Source organism: Homo sapiens, chromosome 15, assembly GCF_000001405.40.
Source record: "Homo sapiens chromosome 15, GRCh38.p14 Primary Assembly".
Lineage (NCBI taxonomy): Eukaryota > Metazoa > Chordata > Mammalia > Primates > Hominidae > Homo > Homo sapiens.
In genome coordinates, this window is record NC_000015.10 from 24,842,017 (window position 1) to 24,857,608 (window position 15,592).

The 15,592-nt window shown below is 41.1% G+C and overlaps 1 protein-coding gene and 1 long non-coding RNA gene across 84 annotated transcripts in view, besides 1 other annotated feature; both read left to right on the top strand.

The window, feature by feature from the left end:
• The window catches only part of SNHG14 (small nucleolar RNA host gene 14), a 595,855-nt gene that overhangs the window by 18,409 nt on the left and 561,854 nt on the right, over nucleotides 1–15,592 (top strand). The window lies entirely within an intron of this gene.
• SNRPN (small nuclear ribonucleoprotein polypeptide N) overlaps nucleotides 1–15,592 on the top strand; it is a 155,087-nt gene that overhangs the window by 18,380 nt on the left and 121,115 nt on the right. For 32 of the 83 annotated variants that reach the window (NM_001400745.1, NM_001400712.1, NM_001400758.1 and 29 more), the window contains exon 1: nucleotides 14,555–14,700. The exons of the other annotated variants lie outside the window; for them this stretch is intronic. The gene's annotated coding sequence lies outside the window, so the exon portion shown is untranslated. Of the gene's footprint in view, nucleotides 1–14,554; nucleotides 14,701–15,592 lie in introns of those variants that run through there. 83 annotated transcript variants of the gene reach the window in all.
• Nucleotides 14,343–14,856: an enhancer, noted in NCBI's record as "OCT4-NANOG-H3K27ac hESC enhancer chr15:25101506-25102019 (GRCh37/hg19 assembly coordinates)". NCBI's record gives its function as "activates a minimal SCP1, AML or CMV promoter by ChIP-STARR-seq in naive and primed H9 embryonic stem cells {active_cell/tissue: H9 hESC(naive and primed)}" and the evidence as "EXISTENCE:reporter gene assay evidence [ECO:0000049][PMID:30033119]".

Consider the following 15,592-nt stretch of genomic DNA (forward strand, 5'->3'; position numbering starts at 1 on the left):
GTGACATGTCCCATTTACCACCCATCCTTATCCATAACTCATCCAGGTACATGTCCAGCCCCTGTGCTCCTGGGCTGATGTCTCTGCCTTGGGCTGAGTACTGGGTGGTATTGCCCCTCCCACTTTGCCAGAAAGCCATGTTTCTCTGACCGAACCTTACCCACTGCACCAATTTTTCAAAGCAGGTTCACCAATTACCAATCCCAAGGGAGGACTCCACCACACAGAGGACAGCAAAGGTCATCACTATACCAGCCATCAGGAATAGGAGTCCAGACACTTCTACCCACTGCATCCTCCGCTGCAGTGCTACAACTGCCTGAGAGCAGTGAGACAGAACACATTCTCAGGCAGTAAGTTAAAGGATGCACATTTATTATTTACAGATAGGGAGAAAGTCTTCCTTCAAAAGAAGCCTAGGCTCCATTCTGAGCTCATCCCCAAAGGCTCAAGAAGGGTTCCCAGGGCAGATGAAGTCTGGATTGCAAATGCCCCCCTTTCACACAGCTGAGGAAGCCCAAAAGGCAGCCCACCCTGGGTTACATATCTCAGGGCAGACATGGCGCATTGAGCAAAGCTTTAAGGAAATACTGCTTTCAGGGCAGAGAGGAACAAACCCCAGCTCTCCTGGACAGTCCCTCCCTAACTAAAGATGTGACATTCCTTAGGAAGGGCCAGAACAAGGCCAGGGTTGTTCCAGACAGTCCCTCCCTAGCTCAGAATATTGCATTCCAGGCTGATGCTACACTTATTCTTGACAAATTAAAACTGAGAAAATGGGAATAATTGAATCCATCCAAGGCCACCTGGAGGACTGTTTTGCATTTTCACCCCAAAAGTTCCTTGTAGTAGTCTTCCCACCATATTTAGTTTTGGAAATTATTGATATCTATCTCCATAACTTTGCCTTTTACAGAATGTCATATAAATGAAATCATTCTGTATGTAATCTTTCAGTAACACTTTCGAGATATGTCATGTTTACTGTATCAATGGTTTGTTTCTTTTTGAAACTGACCTGTGCTATATTCAATGAATGTACCACAATTTACTCAATTGTTTATGTTTTTTTTTAAGACAGAGTTTCGCTCCTGTTGCCCAGGTTGGAGTGCAATCCTGCAACCTCGGCTCACTGCAACCTCCACCTCCTGGGCTCAATGATTCTCCTGCCTCAGCCTCTGGAGTACTCATCATTTTTATTAATATAAAATGTTATAAATATGGATAACTTGATGGATATTTGTGTTGAGGTATTATATGGTTACTACAAGCATATGGTTTCATTCATCTTGGGAAAATAGATCTTAGCGCTGAGATGCTGGATCATATAACAAAAGTATGATTCAGAAGGCTGGTTGTGGTGGCTCATGCCTATAATCCCAACACTTTGGGAGGCCAAGATGGGAGGATCACTTGAGGCCAACAGTTCAAGAGCAGCTTCGCCAACATAGTGAAACCCCATCTCTACTAAAAATACAAAACTTGGCCGGGTGCAGTGGCTCATGCCTGTAATCCCAGCACTTTGGGAGGCTGAGGCAGGCGGATCACCTGAGATCAGGAGTTCAAGACCAGCCTGGCCAACATGGTGAAACCCCGTCTCTACTAAAAATACAAAAGAAAATTCTCCAGGTGTGGTGGTGCATGCCTATAATCCCAGCTACTCAGGAAGCTGAGACAGGAGAGTCACTTGAACCCACGAGGCAGAGGTTGCAGTGAGCCGAGATCATACCACTGCACTCCAGCCTGGATGACAGAGTGAGACTCCATCACAAACACACACACACACACACACACACACACAGAAAACTTAGCTAGGCGTGGTGGCACACGCCTGTAATCCCAGCTCCTCATGTGGCTAGGGCATGAGAATAGCTTGAACCTGGGAGGCAGAGGTTGCAGTGAGCTGAGATGGTGCCACTGCACTCCAGCCTGGGCGATAGAGCTGACTCTGTCTTGAAAAAAAAAAAAAACGTATGATTCACTTTACAAGAAACTGCCAAAATGTTTTCCAAAGTGGCTATCATTTTGCATCCTAACAGAAAATATGGGAATCCCCGTTACTCCACATCCTTACCAGCACTTGGTTTGGACTCTGTGTGTTTGTGTGTGTCTGTAGTGTGTGTGTGTGTGTGTGTTTGTGTGTGCGCATGAGTAAATATATGTGTATATATGTATATATATCGACTCTTAATAATTCCAGTAGGGACATAGTGGCACCTTACTGTGGTTTCAATAATTTACATCTTCCTGCTGATAATGGCATTGAATAAAACTCATTAACTTGTTCGTCATCCATATCTACTATTTGACTGTCACTCTTCTCATTTCAAAAAATGTTTATTGTTGTATTATTAAATTTAACTATGTATATGTATAATTTTGATATGACCTACATCTGTTAAGTACCGAAAATATTTTTTTCTGAGCCTGTGCCATCTCGTCTTTCTCTTAACAGTGTCTGTCAAAGAGCAGCATTTATTTTAATTTTGACTAAGAATAATTTGTCCTTTTTTGTTGTTTTTTTTTGAGACAGAGTCTGTCTCTGTCACCCAGGCTGGAGTGCAATGGCACAGTCTTGGCTCACTGCAACTTCCGCCTCCTGGGTTGAAGCGACTCTCCTGCCTCAGCCTCTTGAGTAGCTGGGATTACAGGCACCCTCTATCATGCCCGGCTAATTTTTGTACTTTTGTAGAGATGGGGTTTCACCATGTTGGCCAGGCTGGTCTTGAACTCCTGACCTCAGGTGATCCACCTGCCTCAGCTTCTCAAAGTGCTGGGATTACAGGCATGAGCCACTGTGCCCAGCCAATTTATCCATTTTTAAATTTTGTGCTTAATATTTATTCCCTACCATTATATATTGCTTAACACAAGGTCATAAAGATTACCTACAGTATTTTCCTTAGAAATTTTATGTGTTAAGGATTTACATTTATATCTGTGGTATTTTGAATTAATTTTATATCTAGTGCAAAAAAGGGTGAAGAGTTTTGTTTTGTATTTTGGCATATGAATGCTCTGTTGTTTTAGGAGCTTTTGCTACAAATACTCTCCTTTCTTCAATTCAAGAAAATTGAATTTCCGTGGCACATGAGTCAAAAACCTACCAACCATATATGTATATGCTATAATGCTCCAGTTATCTAAATATTTATCCTTATACATATCCATATATGAATATGCATATGCTATACATACATACATATATGTATTTGCTATACTGTTCCATTTATCTATTTATCCTTACACCAATACCACACTATCTTGACTAATACCACATTATATTAAACTTGAAATAATGGCCAGGTGCGGTGGCTCACGCCTGTAATCTGGCACTTTGGGAGGCCAAGGCAGGCAGATCACCTGAGGTCGGGAGTTCGAGACCAGCCTGACCAACATGGGGAAACCCCATCTCTACTAAAAATACAAAAATTAGCCGAGTGTGGTGGCACATGCCTGTAATCCCAGCTACTCGGGAGTCTGAGGCAGGAGAATCCCTTGAACCTGGCAGACGGAAGTTGCAGTGAGCCGAGATCATGCAGTTGCACTCCAGCCTGGGCGACAAGAGCAAAACTCCGTCTCAAAAAAAAAGAAAAGAAAAGAAAACGTGAAATAAGTAGTGAGTCCCCCAATATTGTCCCTTTTCTTCTAAATTGGTTTGGCTATACTAATTATTTAGTTTCTTACATAAATTTTGGAATCTACTTCTCAGTTTCTAAAAAAAATATAAAAAATCAGCTGAGGATTCTACTGAATGTATAGATAAATATGTAAGAATTGACCCTTGGTCAGGCGTGGTGGCTCAAGACTGTAATCCCAGCACTTTGGGAGGCTGAGGTGGGTGGATCACGACGTCAGGAGCTTGAGACCAGCCTGACCAAGGCATGGTGAAACCCTGTCTCTACTAAAAATACAAAAATTAGCCGAGCGTGGTGGCAAGCGCCTGTAATCCCAGCTACTCAGGAGGCTAAGGCAGGAGAATCTCTTGAACTTGGGAAGTGGAGGTTGCAGTAAGCCAAGATCGTGCCACTGCACTCCAGCTGGGGTGACAGAACGAGACTCCGTCTCAAAAAAAAAAAAAATTGATCCTTAATATTGAGCTTTCCAATCCATTAAATTGGTATATCTTTATATTTATTTAGATTTTTTTGAATATCAATCTGATCAGCATTTTCTAATTCCCAGAGCACACATTTTGCACACATTTTGTCAGGTTTATCTCGAAGTATATCACGTTTTTATGCTATTATAAAATACATTTTAACTTCTATAGTCAATTTTTCATTATCAGTATAAAGGAAGTCAACCGATTTTCACTCACTCATTTTTACAAACTAAGCAAATCTAGTGGCAGCCATGTGGTATATACATTGCTACTTGTGAGGGATGGATAAATGAAAAACATTTCTCCTTTATTTGAGGCATTTGTCAAGCAGAGATATGAACAAATAGGCAATGCAAATCAGAGGGGTTGTAGTAGGGAATGTGCATTATTCTGTGGAAATCCACAAAATGCATGGGCATACAAACCAAATTTAAATAGTCATAGAAGGAATCCTGCAGGAAGTAATTTATGATTGAATAAAGTAGCTGAAAACCATGCAAATTAGAATTAGACAAGACAAAAGAAGGATTAGTATTCAGGTAGAGACCAGGGTGTGTCTACAAGTCAACATTTTTGAGACATCACAGGGAGAGTAACAATTTCAGTACACTGAAGGAAGTTAGAAATCTATGTCAGGGCTAGATTTTTAAGAAATTTTGTTCTGTGTCAATAAGTTAGGATTTTTATAGTTTTCTAAGGTTCTATTCAGCTACTATGGGGTCGACTCAAGAATACAGCTGTTGTAATTGTTAAAATGGGAATTTGGGAGTCTTTTGAATTTGAAAGAAAAAACAAATGTGCGGGATTGAGGCTCAGACCCTGTACAGGCAAAGAAAAAGTTAAAAGTGAGGAAAATGAGAGACAACATAAACTCTGGGAAAAGTGTTCACAAAAAATTTTAGTATTTTCAGGGTAGAAGCTCCTCTTGATTGAGTCATACCTTCCTGCGAAAGATACAAAGTCAGAAAAGAAATCCTCTACCTAGAAAACGACATTTTGGCACCAAGCATAGGTTACTTTCATGCCTTAATTTCACCTTACCAGCATTTCAAAATACCTGCTACACTGTGGTTTGAGGAATGAGACTACTATGCTCACAGCGCCACCTAGCATCAACAGAAAGGGAGGCCCATGGCAAACTTAATAACAAGAGGCGGGAAAAAAAAGGTGAGGCCCAGGAACCGGAAACTTAATTTGAGCAGGATTTTTCTTATATTTATTTAAAAACTAAAATATTGGCCGGGCACTGTGGCTCATGCCTGTAATCCCAACACACTGGGAGGCCGAGGCGGGCAGATCACTTGAGGCCAGGAGTTCAAGACCAGCCTGGGTAACACGGTGAAACCCTGTCTCTACTAAAAATACAAAAATTAGTGGGCATGGTGGCGGGTGCCTGTAATCCCAACTACTGGGAGGCTGAGGCAGGAGAATTGCTTGAACCTAGGAGGTGGAGGTTGTAGTGAGCCGAGATCGCGCCACTGCACTCCAGCCTGGGTGATAGAGTGAGACTCTCCCTCAAAATAATAAAATAATATTGCTGCAGGGGTCAGTGGTGAAATGCAATCCATAACCATTCCCAGTAAACACTCAGCGAGTCCTGGCCCATGCCCACTTTTCCTGTCATTTAACGCAAGGGTTAAATATCAAAGTGAATCCCATTATGCTAATTGATTTACAAATACGGATGTATAGGAGTGTGATACCCTGAGCGCAATCATACTTCGGATATAACTGTAAAACGACTTCAGCTGACTTTGCAGTGTTGCAGTGTCACATTAAACCCTAAGTTGTTTGTGTTTCCCTACACATCACTCTCCAGGAGCATTATAGTTCAGAAGATTAGAGTAATTTCTTAGACTAAAGCCTTGATGGGTTATTATTACATAAAACGTTTTCCACTCTGATGGAGAAGTCAGGTGCATTCGCTCATGTCTCCGTGGCAGGGCCGGGACTCCTGGTCCCCCGCGATTCTGAGCGGTGCCTCACAGCCTAGGTCCTCCAACCTCACAGGGCGGCCCGCAGCAAATGCGCCACTGTCCGGTGCGGCCAACCAGCTCGTGGTGCGCTGTGGGAAGGTCACAGGACGGAGCTGGGGGGCGGGGGCGGCGGTGGGGGCGGGGGCGGCGGCGGGGGCGGGGGCGGGGGCGGGGGCAGATCCTATTTGCGCCTGCGCGGGACTGGAGGATTCGGTGTTGCCCTTTCCCCCTGCTATTTCCGTTTCCGCGCTTCAAGCGGATCTCTTCCGGTTATGGCGCCCGCTGGGAGTGTCTTATCAGCCGCTTATACCGCGGAAACTTTAACCTGCGTTTTCCCGTAAAATTTTCCTCTCTAGGTTTCGTATCATTGTCTTGTTTCTTACTCTTGTATTAACTTTGTTTTAACCTAAGGTTTCTCTTTCCCAAAAACTGTGGTGTTTCTTTACAACCTCTTTTTATAGTTATATAAACATTGCAAGAACCATGATTTTATATTCTTCCTTTTCAGTATTAATAACTTCAATGTCTTTTTTGGCATTTGTCTGAAAATTTGAAATATTTTTCAATTTACTGAACTGATTATCGTTTTGTAAATATCGGATACTACTTTAATCATTTGTGTATTGGCCTTAAGATTCTCTATTTTTAACTCTTCCACCAACATACCTTTAATCTGAGAGGTGTTGTAGGGGCTTCAAGATCAAACTTTCCCCACAGTCTCTATTTTCATTATAAAATACCGTGTTTTAAGAAAAAATGTACAAGGTTGAAAGAAGTTTCACTACTACGTGTTTTTTTTTTAATTTTTATTTTATTTTATTTTATTTTGAGACGGAGTCTCGCTCTGTCACCAGGCTGGAGTGCAGTGGTGCGGTCTCGGCTCACTGCAACCCCCGACTCCCTGGTTCAGGCAGTTCTGCCGCCGACTCCCTGGTTCAAGCAATTCTGCCTCAACCTCCCGGGTAGCTGGGATTACCGGCACATGCCACCACGCCCAGCTAATTTTTGTATTTTTAGTAGAGATGGGGTTTCACCATGTTGGCCAGGATGGTCTTGATTTCCTGACTTCGTGATCCACCCGCCTCAGCCTCCCAAAGTGCTGGGATTACAGGCGTGAGCCACCGCGCTCGGCCTCTACTATGTTTTAAAACAGTGGCTAGGTCATGCTTTTCTGTGTATCCTTACTTCCCTTATTCCATCACCTCATCCATCACTTTACAACTGATCATACAATTACAAAATTATTTTACTAATCAGATTAAATGTGTGCCTTCCATTTGAAGAAGAAAGGTCTACTAAAGGCTTAGTTTTCCCTAGGACACTGGGAGAATACAGGATCTGGTTTCCAGTGCCACAGTGGTGATCACACAGGAATAAACGGGACACAGGTCAGACAACAGCCAGAAAGTCATCTGCCAGTATATGTTTCCTGTGAGATGGACACCTGGTCCCAGGTCAGACACAGGTGTTAGAGTGTCAGCTAGGTAAAAGAAGTAACCTGAAAGAGACACGCTGTGAACAACTATGTCCACCTCCCCTTCATTTCCTAGTATTGGAGGGCTGCTAGCTGCTCTGTTACTAGGACCCAGATTTAGTTGGGGCCTCTCAGAACAGGTCAGAATTGACCTATGCACAGTACCTGTGGGAGTCTGGATGAGGGCCATCCACTGAAAGTTAGTGAATCAAAGATTTAAGATTGATCTAAATGCAAATAGATCTGTGTCAAACGACTATACGCATAATTGCCTTATTTTATACTTATTGAAAAAATCCTCGTAAAATTATAAAGGCATAAGATTTACTTGTTATGAAAATGAAGGCAATAATGAACGTAATTCATAAGTGAATTTGCAAATATCTTGAAATTCCAATTCTGATTTTTCCAAATTAGATTTTGATTCAGAGTCATCGATGTCTTCACACCACCCTCTGTGGCATGAACAGAGATGGTAATGAAGCATTTCTTAGAAAACAAGGCTGGACCACTGTCTGTGTGATTTCCACCTTTCTTGCTGACACCATTCTGCATGTTTTGATGTAAGTGATGTTACCAGAAGGAAACAGCAGAAGGTTGCAAAACAAGTGCAAACAATGAAAGCCATGTCATGGCTGCCAACAGGCTAATAGTGATTGTAACAACACTTGACAAAATAATTTTTAAAAATTATTCAAATATGATAACTAATAACGATACAGAATTATCAAGGGAGGTCCAATTTTTTTTTTTGTCTGAGACGGAGTCTCTCTTTGTTGTCCAGGCTGGAGTGCAGTGGCACGATCTCGGCTCTCTGCAACCTCCCTGACCCAGGTTCAAGCATTTCTCCTGCCTCAGCCTCCTGAGTAGCTGGGATTACAGGCGGCTGCCACCACACCCAGCTAATTTTTGCATTTTTAGTAGAGACGGGGTTTCACCATGTTTTTTGGCCAGGCTGGTCTCAAACTCTTGACCTCAGGTGATCCACCCGCCTTGGCCTCCCAATGTACTGGAATTACAGGCGTGAGCCACTGCACCCGGCCTAAGGGAGCTCTATTAATGGAGCTGAATCTATGAAACAAGAACATCTTCCTTCATCAAGGGAGCAAAACTGTCCAGAAAAAAAGTACAGATGAGGTAGAAGGAGCCTGGTCTATGTGTTCATCTTTGTGGTGGATTGAGAATAGGGAGGCTGGAGAAGAGGCTGAGGGGGAAGTCAGGGCTCACTCCTGTCCTAAAAGCAAAAGGGAGCAAAAGAACCATGTTCATCTTCAGATTCACACATTCTTCACTTTGAAAGAAAATTTAAGTTTATTAGGAAACCATATCTGTGAGGAGTTTTTATTTTTTTTTTGTTTTCTTTTTTTGAAACAGGGTCTTATTTTGTTGCCCAGGCTGGAGTGCAGTGGCATATACACTGTTCACTGCAGCCTCTACCTCCTGGGCCCTAGCAGTTATCCTACCTCAGCCTCCCATGTAGCTGGGACCACAGGCATATGCCACCAAGCCCTGCCTATTTTATTTTTTTGTAAAGACGTGTCTCACTTTGTTGCCCAGGCTGGTGGGGGGAAGTTTTAGAGATTCATTAAATAATTTGTGAAATTTAAAATAAAGGAAAATATTCTGTTTTGGGTTTTGCCCAGTGCATGTTTGGGGCTCATAGGTGAACAACATGGACAAAATAACCTCTGATATTTCAGTCCAGTAGTGATTCAAGGACTGTAACCCAAATCTCAAATGTAGGAGTTTTGGGTTACAAAACTTTTGGGAGCTGAGAGCACAGGCATCAGACCTGAAATGGAATGGACAAGGAAGGCCTCTAGGAGGAGGAACATTGGAGGAGGTTCTGGAGAGCGTGGAGCAGTGAATCTGGCAAACAGGAGAAAGAGAAGAGGAAAAAATGTGTCTGTGGCACAGGCCAGGGCATGAGAAGGGGACAGTGGATTAGAAGGACTGCTGGGATTAGCAACATGTAAGGAGGGCAGGAGCGGGAAGGGCAGACCATGGAGAGGCTGTGAAGGGGAGAGTGGGCAGGTCAGGAAGTGACACAGGGCCGGCCAGCCCACTAAGGAATGCATTTGTTGTGCTGGTAGTTCAAATATCAGTCTCGTTCCTTGCAACAGTACCTCCAGGTCAAGAAGAGTGAGGATAGCCTCTGTGTCTGAGGAGGTCCCTGTGCATTATGAGGAATTGGTTCTAGGAAGAAGGGAGAGTGAAGAGGAACAGAGAGGACCCTCCAGATCCAGTACGGGCCAACTAAGGGAACTTGGATGCTCCTGTTCATGTCCCTTTCTCCATCACTGAGACTCGCCCCATCCCACCCTGAATGCAGGTTCCTTTCCCCTCGGTTATTTTGTGCGTCTCAGATGATGACATGTATTGTAACTTTATTCTATCACATATGACTTTTACATTATATCATAGAAAAAGTTACTTACATAAATTACTTAATGGTGGATTAGTCATAGTTAAAATGTTGTCAGCTTGGTAAACAAATGAAATTATCACACTTTAGTTTTTCTTCGTTGATCATTTATGAAGATTAGTGTCTCCTCATTTCATGGATGTCACAACTACATGTTCTTAAGTAAGGTGTATGCTTGGGGTGTTGTGTTTTCCCTGTTAATGTTGGATACTCCAGTGTTCAGCAAACTATAAACCTATCAACACACATTTGAAAAATCCAGTTGTTTTGTGTTTTATTTCGTGTATCCTGTCTTTACAATATTATATCTTTTCTTCTGCTTACTTGAAATTTAATTTGCTCTTCTTTTTCTAGGTTCCTAAGATGGAAACTTAGGCGATCATTGGGCATCATCATAGGGTCTACCTGCCAAATCAGGTCTTCTTCATTCTGCAAAAGTTTCTCAGTCACCACTTATATTTCATGACTTTGACCCTTGTGAAAATACCAGTCAGATATCTTGTGGAATGTCCCACAATGTGTATTTGTCTGATGGTTTCTCATAATTAGACTAGAAACAATGTGTAAATTAAACATATTTTTCCAAATTAGAAAACAAGAAAAACAGAATAACATATTAGTTAGAAGTATTAACATAGGGCTGGACGCAGTGGCTTATGCCTATAATCCCAACACTTTGGGAGGTGAAGGTGGGCAGATTAATTGAATCCAGCAATTCAGCAATTCAAGACCAATCTGGGCAACATGGCAGAACGCTGTTTCTAAAAAAAATGCAAAAAATTAGCTAGGTGTTGCAGCATATGTCTGCAGTCTCAGCTACTCGGGAGGCTGAGGTGGGAGGATTGGGAGGGTGGCCTGAGCTTGGGAGGTCAAGGTTCACTGAGCTGTGATTGTGCCATAGCGCTCCAACCTGGGCAAGAGAGTGAGACCATATCTCAACAAAAAAGAGAGAAAAGAAAAAATAACAGAGAAAAATAATTTTTAAAAATCAGGTAATGACAAATAGGGAATTCCAAATATATTGCTAATGGTCTGTTAAGCTTGACAGTGCTTTTAGAAAACTTGTTCTGTTTAGAATAGTGTTAGACTCACAGAACAAATTGGTAATATAAAGAGTTTACATATACCACACACAGTTTTCCTTATTATAAATCTTAACATTAGTGTGTTACGCTTGTTACAATTAAGAACCAATGTTAAACATTATCATTCACTGCTATCCATGCTTTATTCACATGTCCTTAATTTCACTTAATGTCCATTTTTTGATTCTGGAATCCCATCCAGGATGACACATCATATTTAGATGTCATTCCTCTTTATGCTTCATAAGCTGTTGACACTTCCTTCAACTTTCCTGGTCTTTCATGACATTGACATACTTCATTAGGAAGTTGTCTGATTTTTTTTTTTTTTGAGATGACTCTCGTTCTGTTGCCCAGGCTGGAGTGCAGTGACGCGATCTCGGCTTGCTGCAAGCTCCGCCTCCCAGGTTCACGCCATTCTCCTGCCTCAGTCTCCCAAGTAGCTGGGACTACAGGCGCCCGCCACCACGCCCAGCTAATTTTTCGTATTTTTAGTGGAGACGGGGTTTCACCGTGTTAGCCAGGCTGGTCTCAATCTCCTGACCTCGTGATCTGCCCACCTCGGCCTCCCAAAGTGCTGGGATTACAGGCGTGAGCCACCGTGCCCAGCCATAGGTTTTCAAAAGGAGGACTACACAGGGAAATTGCCATTCTTATCACATCATACCAATGTTACATACTAATAGCATGTCATATCATGTTGACCTTAATTTGATTACCTATTTGAATTACTTCTTATCAGATTCTTCCACTGTTAAATTGCTATTTGTTACACTTCCTGTGTTGTACTTTTGAAAAGAAGTCATTAGGCTTAGTAAGAAGTGGGAAGTCATTCTTCACCTCTTTATGGGAAGAGTATCTGCAAAAATAATTTGGAATCCTTCAACATGTGAAATGTGTCAGTTTTCCTCCATTTGTTTTATATATTTTTTCACTCATTTATTTATATCAATATGCAAACATGGATCTTTATTTTACACTTACATTTTACTAGTTTATTTTGTTGTTCAAAATTTTCTACTCTTGGCTATTGGAAGGTCTTTTAATTGGCTACTATATCATTTTCGTATACACACTCCTAGTATAATGGCATGAATCCGTTTATGAGGCTAAAGCCCTCAAGGCCTAATTACCTTTTAACAGCCCCACCTTTTAATACTGCTACAGTGGCAGTTAGTTTCCACTAACTGTAGGGGACAAAAATTCAAACCATAGCAAGAACATACCAAAACCATTTTTAAAAACAATAATGCATTTATTTCTGCAAAAAATGGCCATAAAGGGCCACCTTTATATGTGATCATGTAGATCACCCTCTATATGATAAGGAAGACAAATGGAGAACGAATTAGATAGAGAACTGTTGTGAATTAAAGTATTAGGTTTGGAATACAACTTTTTGGGTTGATTGCTCATATTTCTTAGAACAGAAATTCTCAGTGTACAACTTTAACTCTGAAGAAAGCTACCCATCCAATGAAGAAGTAGCAAAGTGACTGTTTGCCATTTCTATCTTCCTTCTCAATAGATTTATTGAAACATAGCATATACATCACCTCTCCACATTTGTTGTACTTTTGTTATTTCTAGTTCATTCTTGAGGTTTCTCTTTAACACAGCGACTATTAATTCTAGCCCAGTTGGCCAGGAGCTGTGGCTCACACCTGTAATCCCAGCACTTGAGGTTGAGGTGGGTGGAATGCTTGAGCTCAGGAGTTCAAGACCTTTGGGCAACATGGTGAAACCCCATCTCTACTAAAAACACAAATTTAGCTGGGTGTGGTGATGGGCACCTGCAGTCCCATCACCATACTCGGGAGGCTGAGGCAGGAGAATCACTTGAACTTGGGAAGCAGAGGTTGCAGCGAGCCGAGATTGTGCCACTGCACTCCAGCCTGGGTGACAGAGCGAGACTCCGTCTCAAAAAAAAAAAAAAAATTCTAGTGCTGCTCAAGAAGCCTCTAGAAGATTTGTTCATGGATGTTTACATTGTGCCTTTCAGGGTACACTTTTTTAAATCTTATTTTACAGCCAAATACATAATTATCTGATTTGTCAGTGGTTTTATTCTCCATTGTGAAATGTAAAGTAATGATGCAACCTATAATTGATGTGAATAATTTATTTTGCAATTACTATTTATGTCAGTATCAGCAAATACTACATTCATTTGTATAGATGATATTAATCTACAGGTTTTATGGATTATTAGTTCATTTCATCCTCACAGCATCTCAAGAGGTCGGCACTAGTTTTACTCCCAATCACCTAGTGAATTTGATCTAAAGCCCTACAAGAAAGGAATGGATGAAACTTGATTTTGACTGAGTCTATCTTTGAAGTCTTTACTTACATCACGTGTTTTAGAATATCTTTTTTTGTATGGAAAACACATTCTAGGACCGGATTAAGAAATGTTACTCTAGGGCCAGGCGCAGTGGCTCATGCCTGTAATACCAGCATTTTGGGAGGTTGAGGCAGGCAGATCACGTGAGGTCAGAAGTTTGAGACCAGCCTGGCCAATGTGGCAAAATACCGTCTCTACTAAAAATACAAAAAAATTATCCAGGCATGCTGGCGGGCACCTGTAATCCCAGCTACTCAGGAAGCTGAGGCAGGAGAATTGCTTGAACTCAGGAGGAGGAGGTTGCAGTGAGCCAAGATTGCACCATTGCACTCCAGCCTGGGCAACAGAGCGAGAATCTGTCTCAAAAAAAAAAAAAAAAAAAAAAAGGTATTCTACCCCGGAAGTCATGTTCCCAAATTAGATGTAAATCCTGTGTTAAATTGATTTAATATTTAGGTCTAAGATCCACCTAGGAATGATTTTATGTGTAATGTGAGGTTATAGATCAGATTTTATTTTTCCCTGTGGATATATTTCTTGAAATATTTATAGAAAAATTCACATTTCCCCAATTAATCTTATAAATTATTTGTGTATATATGCTTGTGTCTGATTTGCTCTCTCCTTTTTTTTTCCATTGGTTTATTTCTCTGTGAAAATATCACACTATTTTAGTAAGACACTTCATTTAACACAGAATTTTCTCTCTAGGGCCTTCTCTTAGCCAAGTGTGCTATTATATAAAGAAGAAAGAGTGAAAACCTCTATGCCTTGAACCTACACCAATATTCTCAGTTGTCCCTTGAATAAAGAGCAGAATTTAGAACTCACTATTACTGATGACACTTAGGTCTTTAATGTTCTTGTGAATCTTAGACAACCCCCACAACATCATTCCCTGCTTTATTTGCTTAGTCCATTCTTGGTGGATTTTATGAGATGTCAACACTCCTCATTAGGATTCCCTCCTTCTGAAGCCTTTGGGATTTTCTACCCACCCAGCAACCACCAGAGGTGGCAGAAACCCCTGCAGACATCCTTCTTGCGCAAGCGCAGTTGTACCATGAATGCGGTCGTCCTGCTGCAGACCACGCCCACCAAGGGCGGGGCCACATCCACTGCAGCTGAGCTCAGAGCCTTCTGTGGGGTCTGCAGTGGCAAGGCCAGCCGCCCCCTGTCTTCCCTCTGGAGCTGTTTGAGGAATGCAGTTCTTTTGCATAAGAAAGGCTTTTCTCTCCAGTCATTCTGCTTGCTGATCAAGAACACTTAACAGCTTCAGGCTTTCCTGGTAATATTCATTCTTGCTTTTGTGTTTTTGTTTTAAGGTCCAAATATCTTTAATACTTGTATGCAGTTTTCTTTTTTATAATTTCACATAAACATCATCTAAAACCAACTTCGCATGTTCGCATTCTGTATTAACAACTTTCGTTTTTGTATTTAAAAATACATTCATAATCACTTTTTCAAAATATCTTGTCAGTTATTTTCATCTTTTCCATGATCATTCTTTACCAGTGCAATGGAAATATTACTTTTATTAGGAAAAGCAGATGTCACGCGGTTTTTAGTGTTGTCGAGAAATTTCCTATGAAACATCTCTGGTTGAAAAGGAGAGGAACAAAATTTTATGTGAGGCACAAGATCACATATGCTCAGAATCGCATGCTTTAATAAAGGCTGTGATTATTTGCATTATATTGTTTAGCTTGTTCTAATTGTAAAAGGTAGACAAAGAATTAATTTGTGTAGACAGAACATTGCGACTCCCATTCTAAATGTAGAGACAGTCACTGCACTGCGCAAATAGGAATGTCGTCATGTTGTTTGCTTTTCTCCTTACCCCAAAACTGTAGACATTGGCTAGAGTCTTTGATTTTTTTCCCAACTTGCTTTTGTAATTGTCGGCATGATGTTTGCACAGATAACCAATGATATAGATATATATTTTTTTCTTACTATTTGATGAATGATTAATATTTTGGGTTTTTTTTATGTTTTCAGTGAATCAAAAATATCATTCAGAAAATGTTGTCATCCATATCCAGGTAGCATATAGTTTTATAATCTGATCTTGTAATAAGGAAATTACAGTCCTTATTGATTTTCTGTTATTAGTTAGCATTTTTTAAGTTTTCATGCTTGTGAGTATTTGGGAATTTTTTTTTTACTCTGTCAAT